This window comes from Homo sapiens, chromosome 2 (assembly GCF_000001405.40).
Source record: "Homo sapiens chromosome 2, GRCh38.p14 Primary Assembly".
Lineage (NCBI taxonomy): Eukaryota > Metazoa > Chordata > Mammalia > Primates > Hominidae > Homo > Homo sapiens.
This window is the reverse complement of record NC_000002.12, coordinates 235016474-235030328: the sequence shown is the minus strand read 5'-3', so window position 1 is coordinate 235030328 and position 13855 is coordinate 235016474. Positions and strand designations below refer to the sequence as shown.

General features: G+C 48.6%; 1 protein-coding gene across 11 annotated transcripts in view; it reads right to left on the bottom strand.

Moving 5' to 3' along the window:
- The window catches only part of SH3BP4 (SH3 domain binding protein 4), a 103698-nt gene that overhangs the window by 25386 nt on the left and 64457 nt on the right, over nt 1–13855 (bottom strand). The window contains exon 1 of one of the 11 annotated variants that reach the window (NM_001371306.1): nt 2474–2594. The exons of the other annotated variants lie outside the window; for them this stretch is intronic. The gene's annotated coding sequence lies outside the window, so the exon portion shown is untranslated. Of the gene's footprint in view, nt 1–2473; nt 2595–13855 lie in introns of those variants that run through there. 11 annotated transcript variants of the gene reach the window in all.

Genomic DNA, 13855 nt, shown 5'->3' with positions numbered 1-13855 from the left:
AGCCTGACAAAACACTCTCTGCTCCCAGTCTTGCTAACTATTTCTTCCCACGCCCAGAGTTGCTCAGGCCTTCGCTGCCAGTGGCTGCTGGGCCCCTGGAGCTCCTCAAGCTCCTCACCATCCACCTCTGGTGAGCCCTTGATTTTCTCAAAGCCATGCTGCTGCCCTGCTACAACACTTCTGGACAGTGCTCACCGCTTTTAAAAAAATCAGTCTGCTCTCCCCTGGCCTGAGATGAAAAGACCCCCACTACTCAGTCTCCACCTGTACCTCCAGGGTTACATATTGCCGATCTCAACCCTTCAATCAATCACTGGCCACATTCGCTGGAACTTGCTGTGTCTCCAGCTGGCCCAACACCGTCCACCTCTGCATTGTTCCTTCAACCTCACCCAAGCTTCCAGGAAGCCCATCTTCTCTCTCCTCATCTCTTAGCTCCGCTGATTCCCAGCCCTGTGAGGTCCTAGAGTGACCCATCAGTGCATGGACTGTGGAGCACAGGTAGCCCAGAGCCCACGGCCCAGAGCCTCAGATCCGACTCGCCCATCCCGAGTGCCGCACCCGTGAACTGGTCCTTGCTTTATTAGAAAAGGAGTAAAAGGCACAATGCTGTGATTGACTTTATAATGAGCTCCCGAAGGTTCATTATGCTATCTTTCCTAAAATTATGTACTTGTATGAAAATGTGCACAATAAAACATTTTTAAGATTAGAAAATATTAGGAAACATACATTAGCTACCTTCCCAGGCACGTGCCATGAGAGAGAATGGTGTGTTTGTGGGTGTGGCTATCTCCCCTTGGCTAGGAAAACTGCTAAGGAGCCACCAACTCAAATGCCCAGGCAGCCTGAGCCCCCTCAAAGCACAGGTGGACATGGCTGCATTCCCATTCTTTTAACAAGTGGTTCCTGAACCTCAGACTCAGACACCCACCTGCCCACCAAGCGCTCCCTTCAGTACCTAAGGTGCATCTTGAATTTCCTGGATCCAAAGCCAACTCTGGAGCTTGCCCCAAACCCCTGCCCCTGGCCTCACCCATCTCAGCCATGCACGGCAGCTCCATCCAGCCATCCAAGAAGCCCAGCATCCCTCTCCGTCTTCCCTGCCCCGTCCCTCTCTCATGCACTCCTGGTGGCTCCACCTGCAGAACACAACCTCTGGCTGACCTCTCCCCAGCACATCCACACCACCGTCATCTCTCGATGCAATTACAGTCATCAGCTCCTCTCCAGCAGGCCTGCCTGCGGCCTGGAGTCCACCCCTCAATTAGCAGCCGGAACATTTTGAAAAGTCAGTCAGACACCCTCCAGACTCTGTTTGAAACCCTCCAAAGGCTCCTGGGCTCTCATCAGCAGCTTCCAGTGCCCTAGAAGCCCAACATCATCAGCCCCTGTCCCATTTCCTGCTGTTCTCTGCCTTCCTCCACTTGACTCTTCTGGTCTCCATGAAGTTCCCCAGGTACCAAGCCCCTCCCACCACGGGGCCTTTGCACATGCAGTGCTCTCAGCCCAGAAGGCCCCAGCCTAGACACGAGATGCTCTCATCCCCTCACTTCATTCAGGTCTTTGCTCAAATGTCAACACAACCGGCCCTCACCCCATCCTCTTTCTCTGCCCTTTACCACCGCTAGACACACCATGCACAGACTTGTCCCTGGCCCAATTTCTCCATGAGAATCTGAGCATTCCCAGGACATAAGACCATCTGTTTGTCTTTTTCTGCTCCTGTCATGTGCATGGTTGGCTCTCAAACCCGAATGAATGAACGAATTCGGTTTCAACAAAGATGACTGTTTCAGAGGTAACTCGGTAGGTATCTCTGGGATAATCTTTAAGGGAGCCAAATGGCTGATGTGATAGGATTATACTCAGGAGACTGAATTTAGGAATTCTACTCTGTTCCTGAAACCTAAGCCACACATTCTCAAAACACCAACAGGTTCCCTTGGTGGGCACCTCGGGTTTACCTGGACAGCCCAACAAGCTTGACCACCGTCTACTCAGCAGGTCCCAGTGGTCACTTCTCCAGGACAGCCTGCAGTTGCAGGGCCCACCCTGGGCAGGACAGCCACCACTGGATCTCAAGACCCCCTAGAAGAGCAGGCTCCATCTCACCTCTTCACCTCCCAGCCGGGGTCAGGTCTAGGAAGACAGGAAGGCGCATTTGAGCTCATAACTGATAAGTTTTTCCTTTTTCTGTGCAAAGGCTGATTCATCCAGAGACAAAAGAGGCTGCTCTTGGCTCCTCCCCAGGAACCAAGAGGGCAGCGTCTGAACAGACAACATCACTGCATACAGAAGGAATCACTGACAGATTCCGGCGGCAAACTCAAGAAGCCGCACACACCCCCTCCGCTACGGCTGCTGTCACGCCACGCATAGACTCCAGATCACAGAATATTCTCCCTGTGGCCTCTGCCAATGATCTACCCCAAGGAACAATTAGAGAACAAACCAATCCAGAAAAACCAACCTAACGAGAGCATGTCTGGGGCGGAGAAGGTCTTAGGGAAACCTCAGGCTGAGCGCACAGACTGTTCACGTTCTCCTCCGTTCTCCTGCGGCCACGAACCTGAACGCTGCAGAAGGAAAGCAGCTGGCCTGGAGGGGATCGAGGCATAAATGCTGCCCTTGCTCCTCCCCTGCCAATTCCCTGTGTGCCCTGTTTAGAATGACTCATTCTCCATGTTTGATGATAATTTCTGGAGTATCATGTTGATTTCATCAGATTTCCTCCGGGTTAGAAAACAAAAAGCGGGAGATTCCACCTGCTCTCTGTAATTTCTGTCACCAGCTCTGTCGATGGAAACTCATCACATCTGCTCATCTCCCTCCGCGAGCAAGAGTGCATTCCGGAGGACCCTAAAACCCACAGACATTCCGCCCCAGCAGGTCGGTCCTCCTGTTACTGACGGCCTGACACCCAGCACCCCGAGCTTTGGACCCCGTTGCTATAGTGGAGAAGCCTTCGGGGCCTGGGGTGGGTGGGAGGGACTCCTGGCTTTCACAGAGTCACTTGATGGGACCACGAGGAGACCACGGGGTTAACACCCCAGCCTCCTCTCTCACTCCAAAGGCAAAATCACGGAAATCTGCCTCCTAGTCCTGATCCGACTGGTCTGGGCAACAGCCCAAGTAGAGTCAACACCCGACTGGTGTCCCTCCCAGGATGCTTCTGGGCGTGGCTTGGCAGGGAATGCAAGGCTACGACTCAGGGCGAGGACCAGCCCAGGTGCAGTGAAATCCAAACCTTTCCCGCCACCTTAGCAGATGCCCCGCCTGTTACAGAAGCCTGATCAGCAGAACCTTTCCTAATGCTCCTGGAGCACTGTCTATCGTCATATCACCCTGAACGTGCCTGATCTCGCCTAATGCACCCAGGGCACAGGAGGAACATGCTGCCTGGGGCTCGGGCGGGCTGCCTCTTCCTGGGGGAGAAAACAGCAAGGCCCATCGGAAGGCATGGGCAGCCACCGACAGGCACGCCAGCCGATCAGACTCACTCACAGTGCCCCTCTGGGTGCATTTCCCTAAACAACTGAGTTCAATTTAGGAGGTAGCAGCGGTTATTCAGAGCCAAGACCACGCCACAGGGTGAAAAAATGAGGAACGAGGGCAGGACCACACGTTCCAGTCTGAGTTTGAGAAAGGTGGGCATATCCTGGGTGCCACATCTACCTGGGACTACGCACAGAGGTCACCTTAGTGAACATCTACGGAGTGCCAGGCTCTAGCAACGAGGCTCTGTGCTCAAAACTAGGGACAGAAATAAATGGAAGAGAGTTGGTTTTGAGGGAACCCGTATTGGAGACAAATCAACAAAAGAATGGAAGACCTGGAGGGGAAGGAGCGCTAAGGTTCTCTGTGCCAGACACCGGGTTATAACTTGCACACATTCAAGGCTTAACTGTGGGTGCCAAGCTGGTGACTCAGACTCCAGAGATGCGGGGAAAACAAGGGCCATGAGTCGTCACTAGGTGTTCCTTGCTTGCTCAGTTTTTATTGTAAAAAGTGAGATGGCTAGCGCGGCTGGAGTCATGATTCCAGATGTTTTCACTGGCCAGACTGAGAACATCTGAGGCTGGGGATCCCCCGACAGGTCAGGAAGAGGAGGGGAGGGCGTGTGAATCCCTCTTCAAGGCCTGAGCTTCTTACCTGGCCTCCTCCCTTTCCTGCCTCCCCTCTCCTCTGCTTCCTCTATTCCTGGCCCCATCCCTCCCCCATCCCCTCTGTAGGGTTGTTCTCAGCACACTGCACAGATCCCAGAATCTCCTTGCATTCAAAGCAACCATTACTTCAGACTCTTCAGAGGCCCCCACAGTCTGTGGGAGACATTCTAAGCTTTCCAGATTCTTCACACCTTCCTCCGTACATCCCATGCACTCACCAAACACAGCTACTGTTTCTTCCAAAACATCTCCAGACCTTGTGCCTTTCTTCCCACCCACTTTCTTGAAGACCCAACAGGGCTCCCCATTTCTATAACATCAAAACCTACCGATTGGAGAATGACCCCCTGAAACAGTGCCTTTGCCTTTGCAAATGGAAGTCCACCTCTTTTCCTAGCTCTCCTGGACACCCGTCATCATCTCTAGGCATTTACTGCTTTTATCCCAGGCATCGCACTGTTCATCGTGCTTGTTATTTTTTCTTAGTTCCCTAACTACACTCGTTTCCTTGAAAGCTGGTGACTTGGCTGCTCTGTCTTTATAATTTTCCAGCATTGAGCGCAGTGCCCAGCCCAAGCTTGGATTGTCTCCCACAGACTGCGGGGGCCTCCGAAGCTTGGTGCTTGGTGCCATCTGTGGCACGGATGACTGTTGCGCTCAGACATTAATTCAGCATCACGTGCATTCAGGACCAGTAAATACACAAGGGAAAGCAGGACCCGGACCTTCCCTCGGCTGCTTATCATTAAGCTGGAAAGACACACACATGAAACCAATGCCACAGGAGAGGGGTGGGGGCCCCCACCATGTCTTCTGGGTGTGGATGGGACTGGAAGTCCGCAGACACCTTGGCTCGCTTCCCTAGTGCGCTCCTGGGTCAAAGCTCTTCACCTACATCTTCCTTCCCCGCCCTCACCCTGCCGCTGAGAATCATGAAGAGCTCACAGACACACCAGTGTGTACCTGTCAAGTGCTCATCAAGCCTGGGGTTTAGGCAGACATTTGTGGCAATGGGCTGCTGTCAGCCCCCTTGAATCACATGGGAAGGCTGGCCCGCCCGTGTCAGATGGCTGACAGCAAACAGGCTGTGAAGCAGGACCCTGTGATCAGCCCAGACCAGAAATACTTCCAAGCTCTGGTCCCCAGCCAGTGACCAGAAATAAAAAGTGCAACTATCTCTGAAGACGTTTTAAGAGCAGCAAGCAGAGAGGCCCATTCATTTGACTGGGGCTGGCCAGAGGGTTGTACTCAGACTCCCGGCTCCCACCTGCCACTTAAGACCGCAAAGCTTCGGCACTGGAAGGATTTGTGCCCTCCAAACACTACTCACTGACTTACCATCTTCTTTAAAAAAAAATCAACTGTTATTAATACTTCTTTATCAATCAACCCGCTTTTTACAACTTGATAGATCTTTTCTAGTACACATTAACTCAAAGGAATGTTTTAAAGTGCATCTTAGGTGCCATTCTGAAAACCGCAGAGCTAGCCAGCCCCACACATACATCTTACAGATGAGAAAACTGAGGCCTCACTTTTATTGAAAGGGGCTTTCCCTGATGAAAATGCTGGATCTGAAGAGGCTGGAGAGGGGGAGGCGGCTTCTAGGGTTTAATACTGTTCCTGATTCTACCAACAGTTCTCATTAGTGACACACACATGCCATGTCTGAGGCTCAAGGAATTTCATACTGTGAGGACGTGAGTGGAGCCCTGAAGCCAAAGCAGCCATGAGGATGCCACAGTCGTTGCAAAAAGCCACAAGCAGAAAGCAAAGCCCACCCAGTGGATCTGCTGAAAAAGCGCCAACACACCCCAGGATGCCTGACCTGCCAACCCCATGCATGCAAACTGTGGATGGGCCCTCAGGGCGTCGCTTAGGAGAGATGACTTTGCAAGGTGTCACTCGTTAGTTTATTGTTTTAGCCTCTGCCTCTCAGCCAGACCTTCAGCCACAAAGAAAGGGAGCAACTGCAGTTTTAACCACCAGTTTATCAAGAATCTGGCCTCTAAGCAATGAGTACAATTTGTGAATGAATGAATGAATTTCCTTACTGAAGAGCTCACATGTCCATCAATTACTAATCGAGATATCTAGAGCAAAAAAGCAATGAAAAATCCATCCTTGACCAATATTTATTAAGAAAATGAGAGGGGACAGAATTCCTGTCCCTCCTCCCCTCCCACTGTCCCTCAATATACCCGTCTTTAGGAAATCAAAGACGTAGATAAAGTGCTTGGTGACATGGAGATGGGAGCAACCTAGTTCCTCACACAGAGCTTGAGGGCACCGAATCTCCAGAAACAGCTGTGCAGCCATTACAATTCTTCTTAGGCTATTTAATAGAATGGAAAATCCATACAACATAATATTTAAAAATTTAAATCCACAGATTGTATAATAAAATCTTCTACTTTGTTTTCAAAAAAATACCTTTTATAGAAAAAGAAGAGTAAATTCCACACTGAATGCTAACTTTATCTCTAGGTAGCAAGTGTATGGAGAGCTCTTTTCCTCTTCAAAATTTTCTTAATTTTCCTAAGATTTTTCTACAATCAAAAACGCTTTTTATAAAATGAATTTCCATTCTTCTCACCCCCCACCCCACCGCCCGAGATGGAGTCTCACTGTGTCACCCAGGCTGGAGTGCAGTGATGCGATCTCGGCTCACTGCAACCCCCACCACCCGGGTTCAGGCAATTTCCTGCCTCAGCCTCCCAAGTAGCTGGGATTACAGGTCTCCACCACCATGTCCAGTTATTTTTTTGTATTTTAAATACAGACAGGGTTTCACTATGTTGGCCAGGCTGGTCTTGAACTCCTGACCTCAGGTGATCCACCCGCCTCAGCCTCTCAAAGTGCTGAGAGTATAGGTGTGAGCCACCGTGCCCAGCCTGAATTCCCATTATTATTCTGAAATATGAGGCCTTGATTCCAGCAGGTCTTTGCAACTTTGTAAGGCCATGCTACGAGCAAGTGAAAAGGAGGCCAGCTGAGCTGATTCTGGACGCTCTCAGATACTTGACTGAGCACCTCTAATTGTGTACTAATCCTGGTGGATCTAACTCCAGGATTCCCAACTCCAGCTCTGTGATTTGGGGAAAGTCATTTTGCCGTTACATGAAAATAAAGGTACACCTATTTCTCCTGGCCTTATTACTCCACTAAGTAGGAGACATGGGCTACTGGCTAGAAAGATGTGAGGAGGGACAAGGTCAAGGAGTGGGGCCCAACCAGACCCATCAGGCCCCAACTGCAACTCTGCAGAGGGAGCACCACCCTGACCCTGCTCCTCCCAGCAAGACTGCCACATTTTTGCTAGTGTAAGTGGCACAGCAGTGATCATCTTTGTATCTAATCATACTCCATATTTTGGGTTATTTTCTTAGGACTGCTTTCAAGTAGAGTAGGAAGGGTTGCCAAAAGCAGTCCTGGAAGACTGTGACAATCCATCCTCTCAACAGCGGCGGGTGTCCAGTTCTCACCCCTAACTAGCAGGTCAAGAAAAGCCTTGCTTATCTGACAACGAGGGGATGGGCCGTCAATGTCTCGATTCACCCGCTTTCAACATTTCAATCCACCCTCCTTTGACCATTAGTCAGAAATAGTTCAAGTATCAACTACTACTTTTTTTTTTTGGAGACAGAGTCTCGCTCTGTCGCCCAGGCTGGAATGCAGTGGCACGATCTTGGCTCACTGCCGCCTCCACCTCCCTAGTAGCTGGGACCACAGGTGTGCGCCACCACACCTGGCTAATTTTTGTATTTTATTAGAGACGGGTTTTCACCATGTTGGCCAGGCTGGTCTCAAACCCCTGACCTCAAGTGATCTGCCCGCCTCGGCCTCCGAAACTGCTGGGATCACAAGTGTGAGCCACCACACCCGGCCAAGTAGCAACTACTTCTTATGTCCTACCTTGTGGATTATCATTTTGCACCTTCTGCTCAATTACATCCTAAAATCTCAGCAGGTCGGCTGCAAATATCTCCCCCACTCTGTGCTTGCTTGCACTAATCCATTTGGTAATTTGATAAAGTCTCAATTATTTAATCATATCAATCTTTCCTTTGTCATTTCCCCTTGATGCACAGAAAGGCCTCCCTTGATGACAAATTCAATAAACATTCACATCTATTTTCCTTTACTTAAAAATAAAAGGTTTGTGGACTGACATTAATGTACAAAGAATTTATTTTGCTTCTCGGGGAGGGATGTTACAAAATTAACTAGCAAACAGATGAGCAATTACTCCTGCATGAATTCCTGAACAATTTGTCCCCTTCTGACTCATGTGATGTCATCTTAATGCATTTTTAAATGTGTACAGACACTAGGGTCTGAATCGGGGCTGTTCTGTGTCATTAGTTTGCCTATATTTACCACAATATCAACCTTTATTTAACCATGATAGTTCTGCTGTGTTGGACTACATGGAAGGTCTGGCTTCTATGCACTATTCTATTTCAAAGTCCCATCAGTTATTTTTACCTTTTTTTTCTTCCAAATAAACTTTATTATTATCATTTTTTTTTTTTTTTTTGGAGACAAAGTCTCACTCTTTCACCCAGGCTAGAGCACAGTGGCATGATCTTGGCTCACTGCAACCTCTGCCTCCTAAGTTCAAGGGATTCTCCTGCCTCAGCCTCCTAACTGGGATTACAGGCATGTGCCACCATATCTGGCTAATATTTTTTGTATTTTTTTTTTTAGTAGAGACAGGGTTTCACCATGCTGGCCAGGCTGGTCTCAAACTCCTGACCTCAAGTGATCCACATGCCTCAGCCTCCCAAAATGCTGGGATTACAGGAGTGAGCCACTACACCCGGCCCTCTTCCAAATAAACTTTAGAATAATTTAATAAAATGTCTCCCACCATCTCATTTGTGCAAAAACATATTCCCACTGGGATTTCCTGGGTACTGCTTTACAAGAAGTGACATCTTTATACTATTCCATCTTTTCTTCCACAAATGTGGTTGGGTCCCCATTGATTTAGATATGAGTCCCAGAGCAGTGTAGGGCAGAGACGGCCAAACTTTTCCTGTAAAGGGACAGAGAGTAAATTAAGCTTTGTGGGGCCATATATTCTCTGTCACAAAGACTCAGCTCTGCCCTTGTGGTCCAAAAAAAGCTGTAGATGATACAAATAAATGAGTAGGATCATGTTCCAACAAAAATGTATTTATAAAAAATAGGAGGCAGACTACAGTTTGCCCCTCCCTGGTGTCAAGATTATGAGGGTGGGACACTCTGCCTAGAGTCTGGCTGATGGACTTGGGGCCTTGGCACTACCAATCACCAGCTGGGAGGCTCAGGACAAAAATCACTTGCCCTTGAAAGGACTCCTTAGCTGCAAAATGGAAACAATGAAAACACAATGAGATAATAGGTACACAAAAAGCACTTCTTCTAGGGTTGATGTTATAACTGTTGGGTAACACCAGCACTACCACCAACAACTACTAGCTGTAGTAGTAACAGCAGTAGTCGGAAGAGGACTCAAAATGTTTTCTTTGCAGAAAACATTTTTAATACATTATGATATTTTAAATTTGGGTTTGGATGTTGTCATCGCCATGAATGCCGTCTCCTTTTCCGATTATATTTTCAGGAGATTATTGCTGCAAAAGAGAAGTCACTTATTTTTTCTGCTCTTTTTTTTCCAGACAGGGTCTTGCTCTGTCACCCAGGCTAGAGTGCAGTGGTACAATTTCGGCTCACTGCAACCTCTGCTTCCTGGGTTCAAGCAATTCTCCTGCCCCTGTCTCCTGAGTAGATGGGATTACAGGCACGCGCCACCACGCCTGGCTAATTTTTGTATTTTTTGGCAGAGACAGGGTTTCACCATGCTGTCCAGGCTGATCCTGAACTCCTGACCTCAAGTGATCTGCTGCCTTGGCCTCCCAAAGTGCTGGGATTATAGGCATGAGTTACTGAACCTGGTCAAGAAGTCACTTATTTCTATATCTAGGCATTTTCAATTCAGTAACTAAAATCTTGTTTTAAAGACACCCATTCCTACAAACCTGCTTCAGGGCAAGCCAGAGTCTGCCCAGCTCAGTGGTGTCTGTTTCACTGCCTTTCCCGTTCTTTCTCTTATGTCGCAAAGAAGAATCTTCCTAGATTCGGTGGCTCTCCCTCGGGGGGTCCACAAGCTCCAGCTTGAGTTTCTTTCTCATAATCTGATCAATAATCAATTCAAATATCATTTACAAAAACATTTCCATATAGAACATGTAACTTGCTTTTGTCTCTTTTAAAGATTTTTTTTTTTTTTTTTTTTTTTAAGAATCTTTAGAGTATAGTTTGGGAACTCTGGCCTCAGATCTCTCATCTGGAAAAGGAGGAATGGAATGGACCACCTTCTAGATTGAGAAGGTAGCAGCAGCAGAAACAGTGGTGACAATAGAACTCACCCTTCCCTGGCCAGGCGTGGTGGCTCACACCTGTAATGCCAGCACTTTAAGAGGCTGAGGCGGGCAGATCACCTGAGGTCAGGAGTTCGAGACCAGACTGACCAACATGGTGAAACCCCATCTCCACTAAAAGTAAAAAATTAGCCAGGTGTGGTGGTGCATGCCTGTAATCCCAGCTACTCAGGAGGCTGAGGCAGGAGAATCGCTTGAACATAGGAGGCGGAGGTGGCAGTGAGCTGAGATCGCGCCATTGCACTCTAGCCTGGGCAACAAAATCGAAACTCCATCTCAAAAAAAAAAAAAAAAAAAATTCGCCCTTCCCACCGTCAAGCCCATCATCCTCACACAAGAGGCTTTCCCTGCATCTCTCCCTTTCTTCTGCCCCCAATCCAGCCCACTGTGTCCAGTCAGTGTGATCGCCAGTGTATTCCAGTCTGATCTCCTCTCTCTATTACCTGCTCCCGGCTGTGTGCACCATCACTCACCTGAGTGCCCTGCAGCGCCCTCCTGGGCTCCCTGGTTCCACTCCCTCCACCCACCCACCAACAAAACCATTCTCCTTAGGGCACCCTGCAAATTAAGTCTCTCCAAGGGCATCTCGCTGCATTCAGAACAAAATTTCACCTCTTGACTAGGCCCCGAGGCCCTGCCTGACTTTGCTCCTTCCTGGTGCACAACGGAACTGTTCCTGCCCCAGGACCCTTGCACTAGCTGTTCCCTCTGGCAGGCAAGCACTGCTCCAGAACGTCACTTGGCTGATAACTTTTGCCACCCAGATCTCAGGCCAGTGTCACTGCTCCAGAAAGGTCTATCTGACCACTCGCCACTGCAGCCCTGCTCAGCGGGTTTTGCTGTTTTCTTGAGGGCACATGACTTACCTCAATCAGCTTTGTCTTTAGGTCTTGTCTATTTCCTGGCTCCCTCTGGAAGGTAAGCTCCGTGAACAAACTCCGTTCCCAGATGTGCCCCGATTCCCAGAACAACACCAGGTATGACTCAGTCACTCAGGAAAATGGGTTTAAAAAAGTAACTGGAACCCAAAGGCAGCATTGCACACCAAAGGGGACCCCCAGAGCACCCCAGTCCTGCCTCCCTTTCTCCCAGAAGTACTTCACTGTGGAAACAACAGTCATCTAAATTACTCGTAATAATACCTATCTTTTTTGCTCAAAACTTTCAGGAATGTTTGCTTGCAAAGATCATGGAGGGGTGGAAGAATGATTTACCTATTCAATAAAGCCTCCCTGAAGGCAAGCTTATGCCAGAAGCATGCTAGATGCTGTGGTAACTAACATTGGTGTTTAAGAGGGAAGTGGCAGCTTTTCCTATTCACCTGCCCAGAGGCCTGAACCTGGCTATTGCACACTGGCCTGGGAGGGACAGCCTGTACCCGTACCCCACGAGACTAAAATAGGCACAGGGACTGCTGTTTTGTTTGATTTATTGCTCTACCAAGCCCCCTGCCCAATCCCCTGGCTTCTGGAACTGCACCTCACTCCCAGCAAGCACCCAGACTCTGTAGAATGAACTCAGGGCCATGGTCTGATACAAGTTACATGGAAACAATCACCTCATCCAACTTTCTTCCTCCTGCAACCTCCCTGCCCCACACCAAGGGTTTGGCTACACCATAAGCCACTTAGACCCTTGAACACAGGTAATCCAAGACCCTGTAAGCTCTCGTCTGCCCCCGCTCACCCTGGGCCATGGAGATCTGCCAGGGCCCCAGAATTAGGGCCTGTGTCTCACTTCCGTACAGAATGTTTATGTAGGTGGTGTTGATAGGACCCAAGACACTAGGTACCTACAGTGCTTTCTGCTCCAGTGGACCCACCAAGAGTCTTGCTGCGTTTCAGGAAGAACCAAAAAAACTGGTTGAATATCAACCATTTGATGTCGTTCAACCTAAAACCAACATTCTAAAATAATTCATTACAGATTTAATGTGGCACTGCCTCTAATTTCCTGAGAGGGATTTTAATGCTGATAACACTACACCCATATGAAAAAGCAGGGGAGGGGGCCTGACACACGGCACCCAGTGAATGACACTGGGCCCCTGGAGGGCAGGAGAGATAAGCACGTGTGCAGAAATATCAATGCTCACTCATGTCGATAAAGCAACTTATGCCCAGTCACTCATCCTGAGAAGACAGATGGGAAGCCAGACACAAAAGCTCAAGATAACCCCACAGATGACGGTGAAACTGATTAATTAAAGTCTGATCTATGGATGACAGAATGCCAAGCAGCCATTAATATGGCTTAGGAAAGGATTTCTTTTTTTTTTTTTTTTTTGAGACTGAGTCTCGCTCTGTTGCCCAGGTTGGAGTGCAGTGGCACGATCTCAGCTCACTGCAACCTCTGCCTCTTGGGTTCAAGCAATTCTCTGGCTCAGCCTCCCAAGTAGCTGGGATTACAGGTGCCCACCACCACACTTGGCTAATTTTTGTATTTTTAGTAGAGACAGGTTTCACCATCTTGGCCAGGCTGGTCTTGAACTCCTGACCTCGTGATCCACCCACCTTGGCCTCCTAAAGTGCTGGATCTCACCCAGCCAGGAGAGGATTTTAAAATACGAGAAATGTGAATATATTAAGTCTTAAAGTATTTTACCAAACAATAGTATAGCATAGTCTCAATTTTCTTTGGGTACATGAGAAGGCTATATACCAAAAAAAAAAAAAAAAAAAAAAAAGAAAGGCAAACAGAAACTCGCTGCCGAAAGTGAGATCTGGGTGATTTATGTTGTTGCTTGTAATTTTCTCTGTGTTCCCTGTATCTTCTGAAGTCAACGTGTTTTGCTCTCAAGGGAAGTGTCAAGTGGCATCCCCATCCCCCATAGACAGAAACCCGCATCTCTGCATTAGCTCGGAAGGGATGGATGGATGGATGGATGGTTGGATGCACAGACAGATAGAAGGGTGAATGAAAAGATGAGTTGAGGTGGCTCACACCTGTTATCCCAGCACTTCGGGAGGCCGAGGTGGGTGGATCATGAAGTCAGAAGATCGAGACCATCCTGGCCAACATGGTGAAACCCCATCTCTAATAAAAATACAAAAAAATTAGCTGAGCATGGTGGTGTGCGCCTGTAGTCCCAGCTACTTGGGAGGCTGAGGCAGGAGAATCGCTTGAACTCACGAGGGCAGAGGTTGCAGTGAGCCGAGATTACGCCACTGTACTCCAGCCTGGTGACAGAGTGAGACTCTGTCTCAAAAAGAAAAAAAAGAAAAGAAAAGAAAGGACGAGTGAATGGGCGGTGGTGCT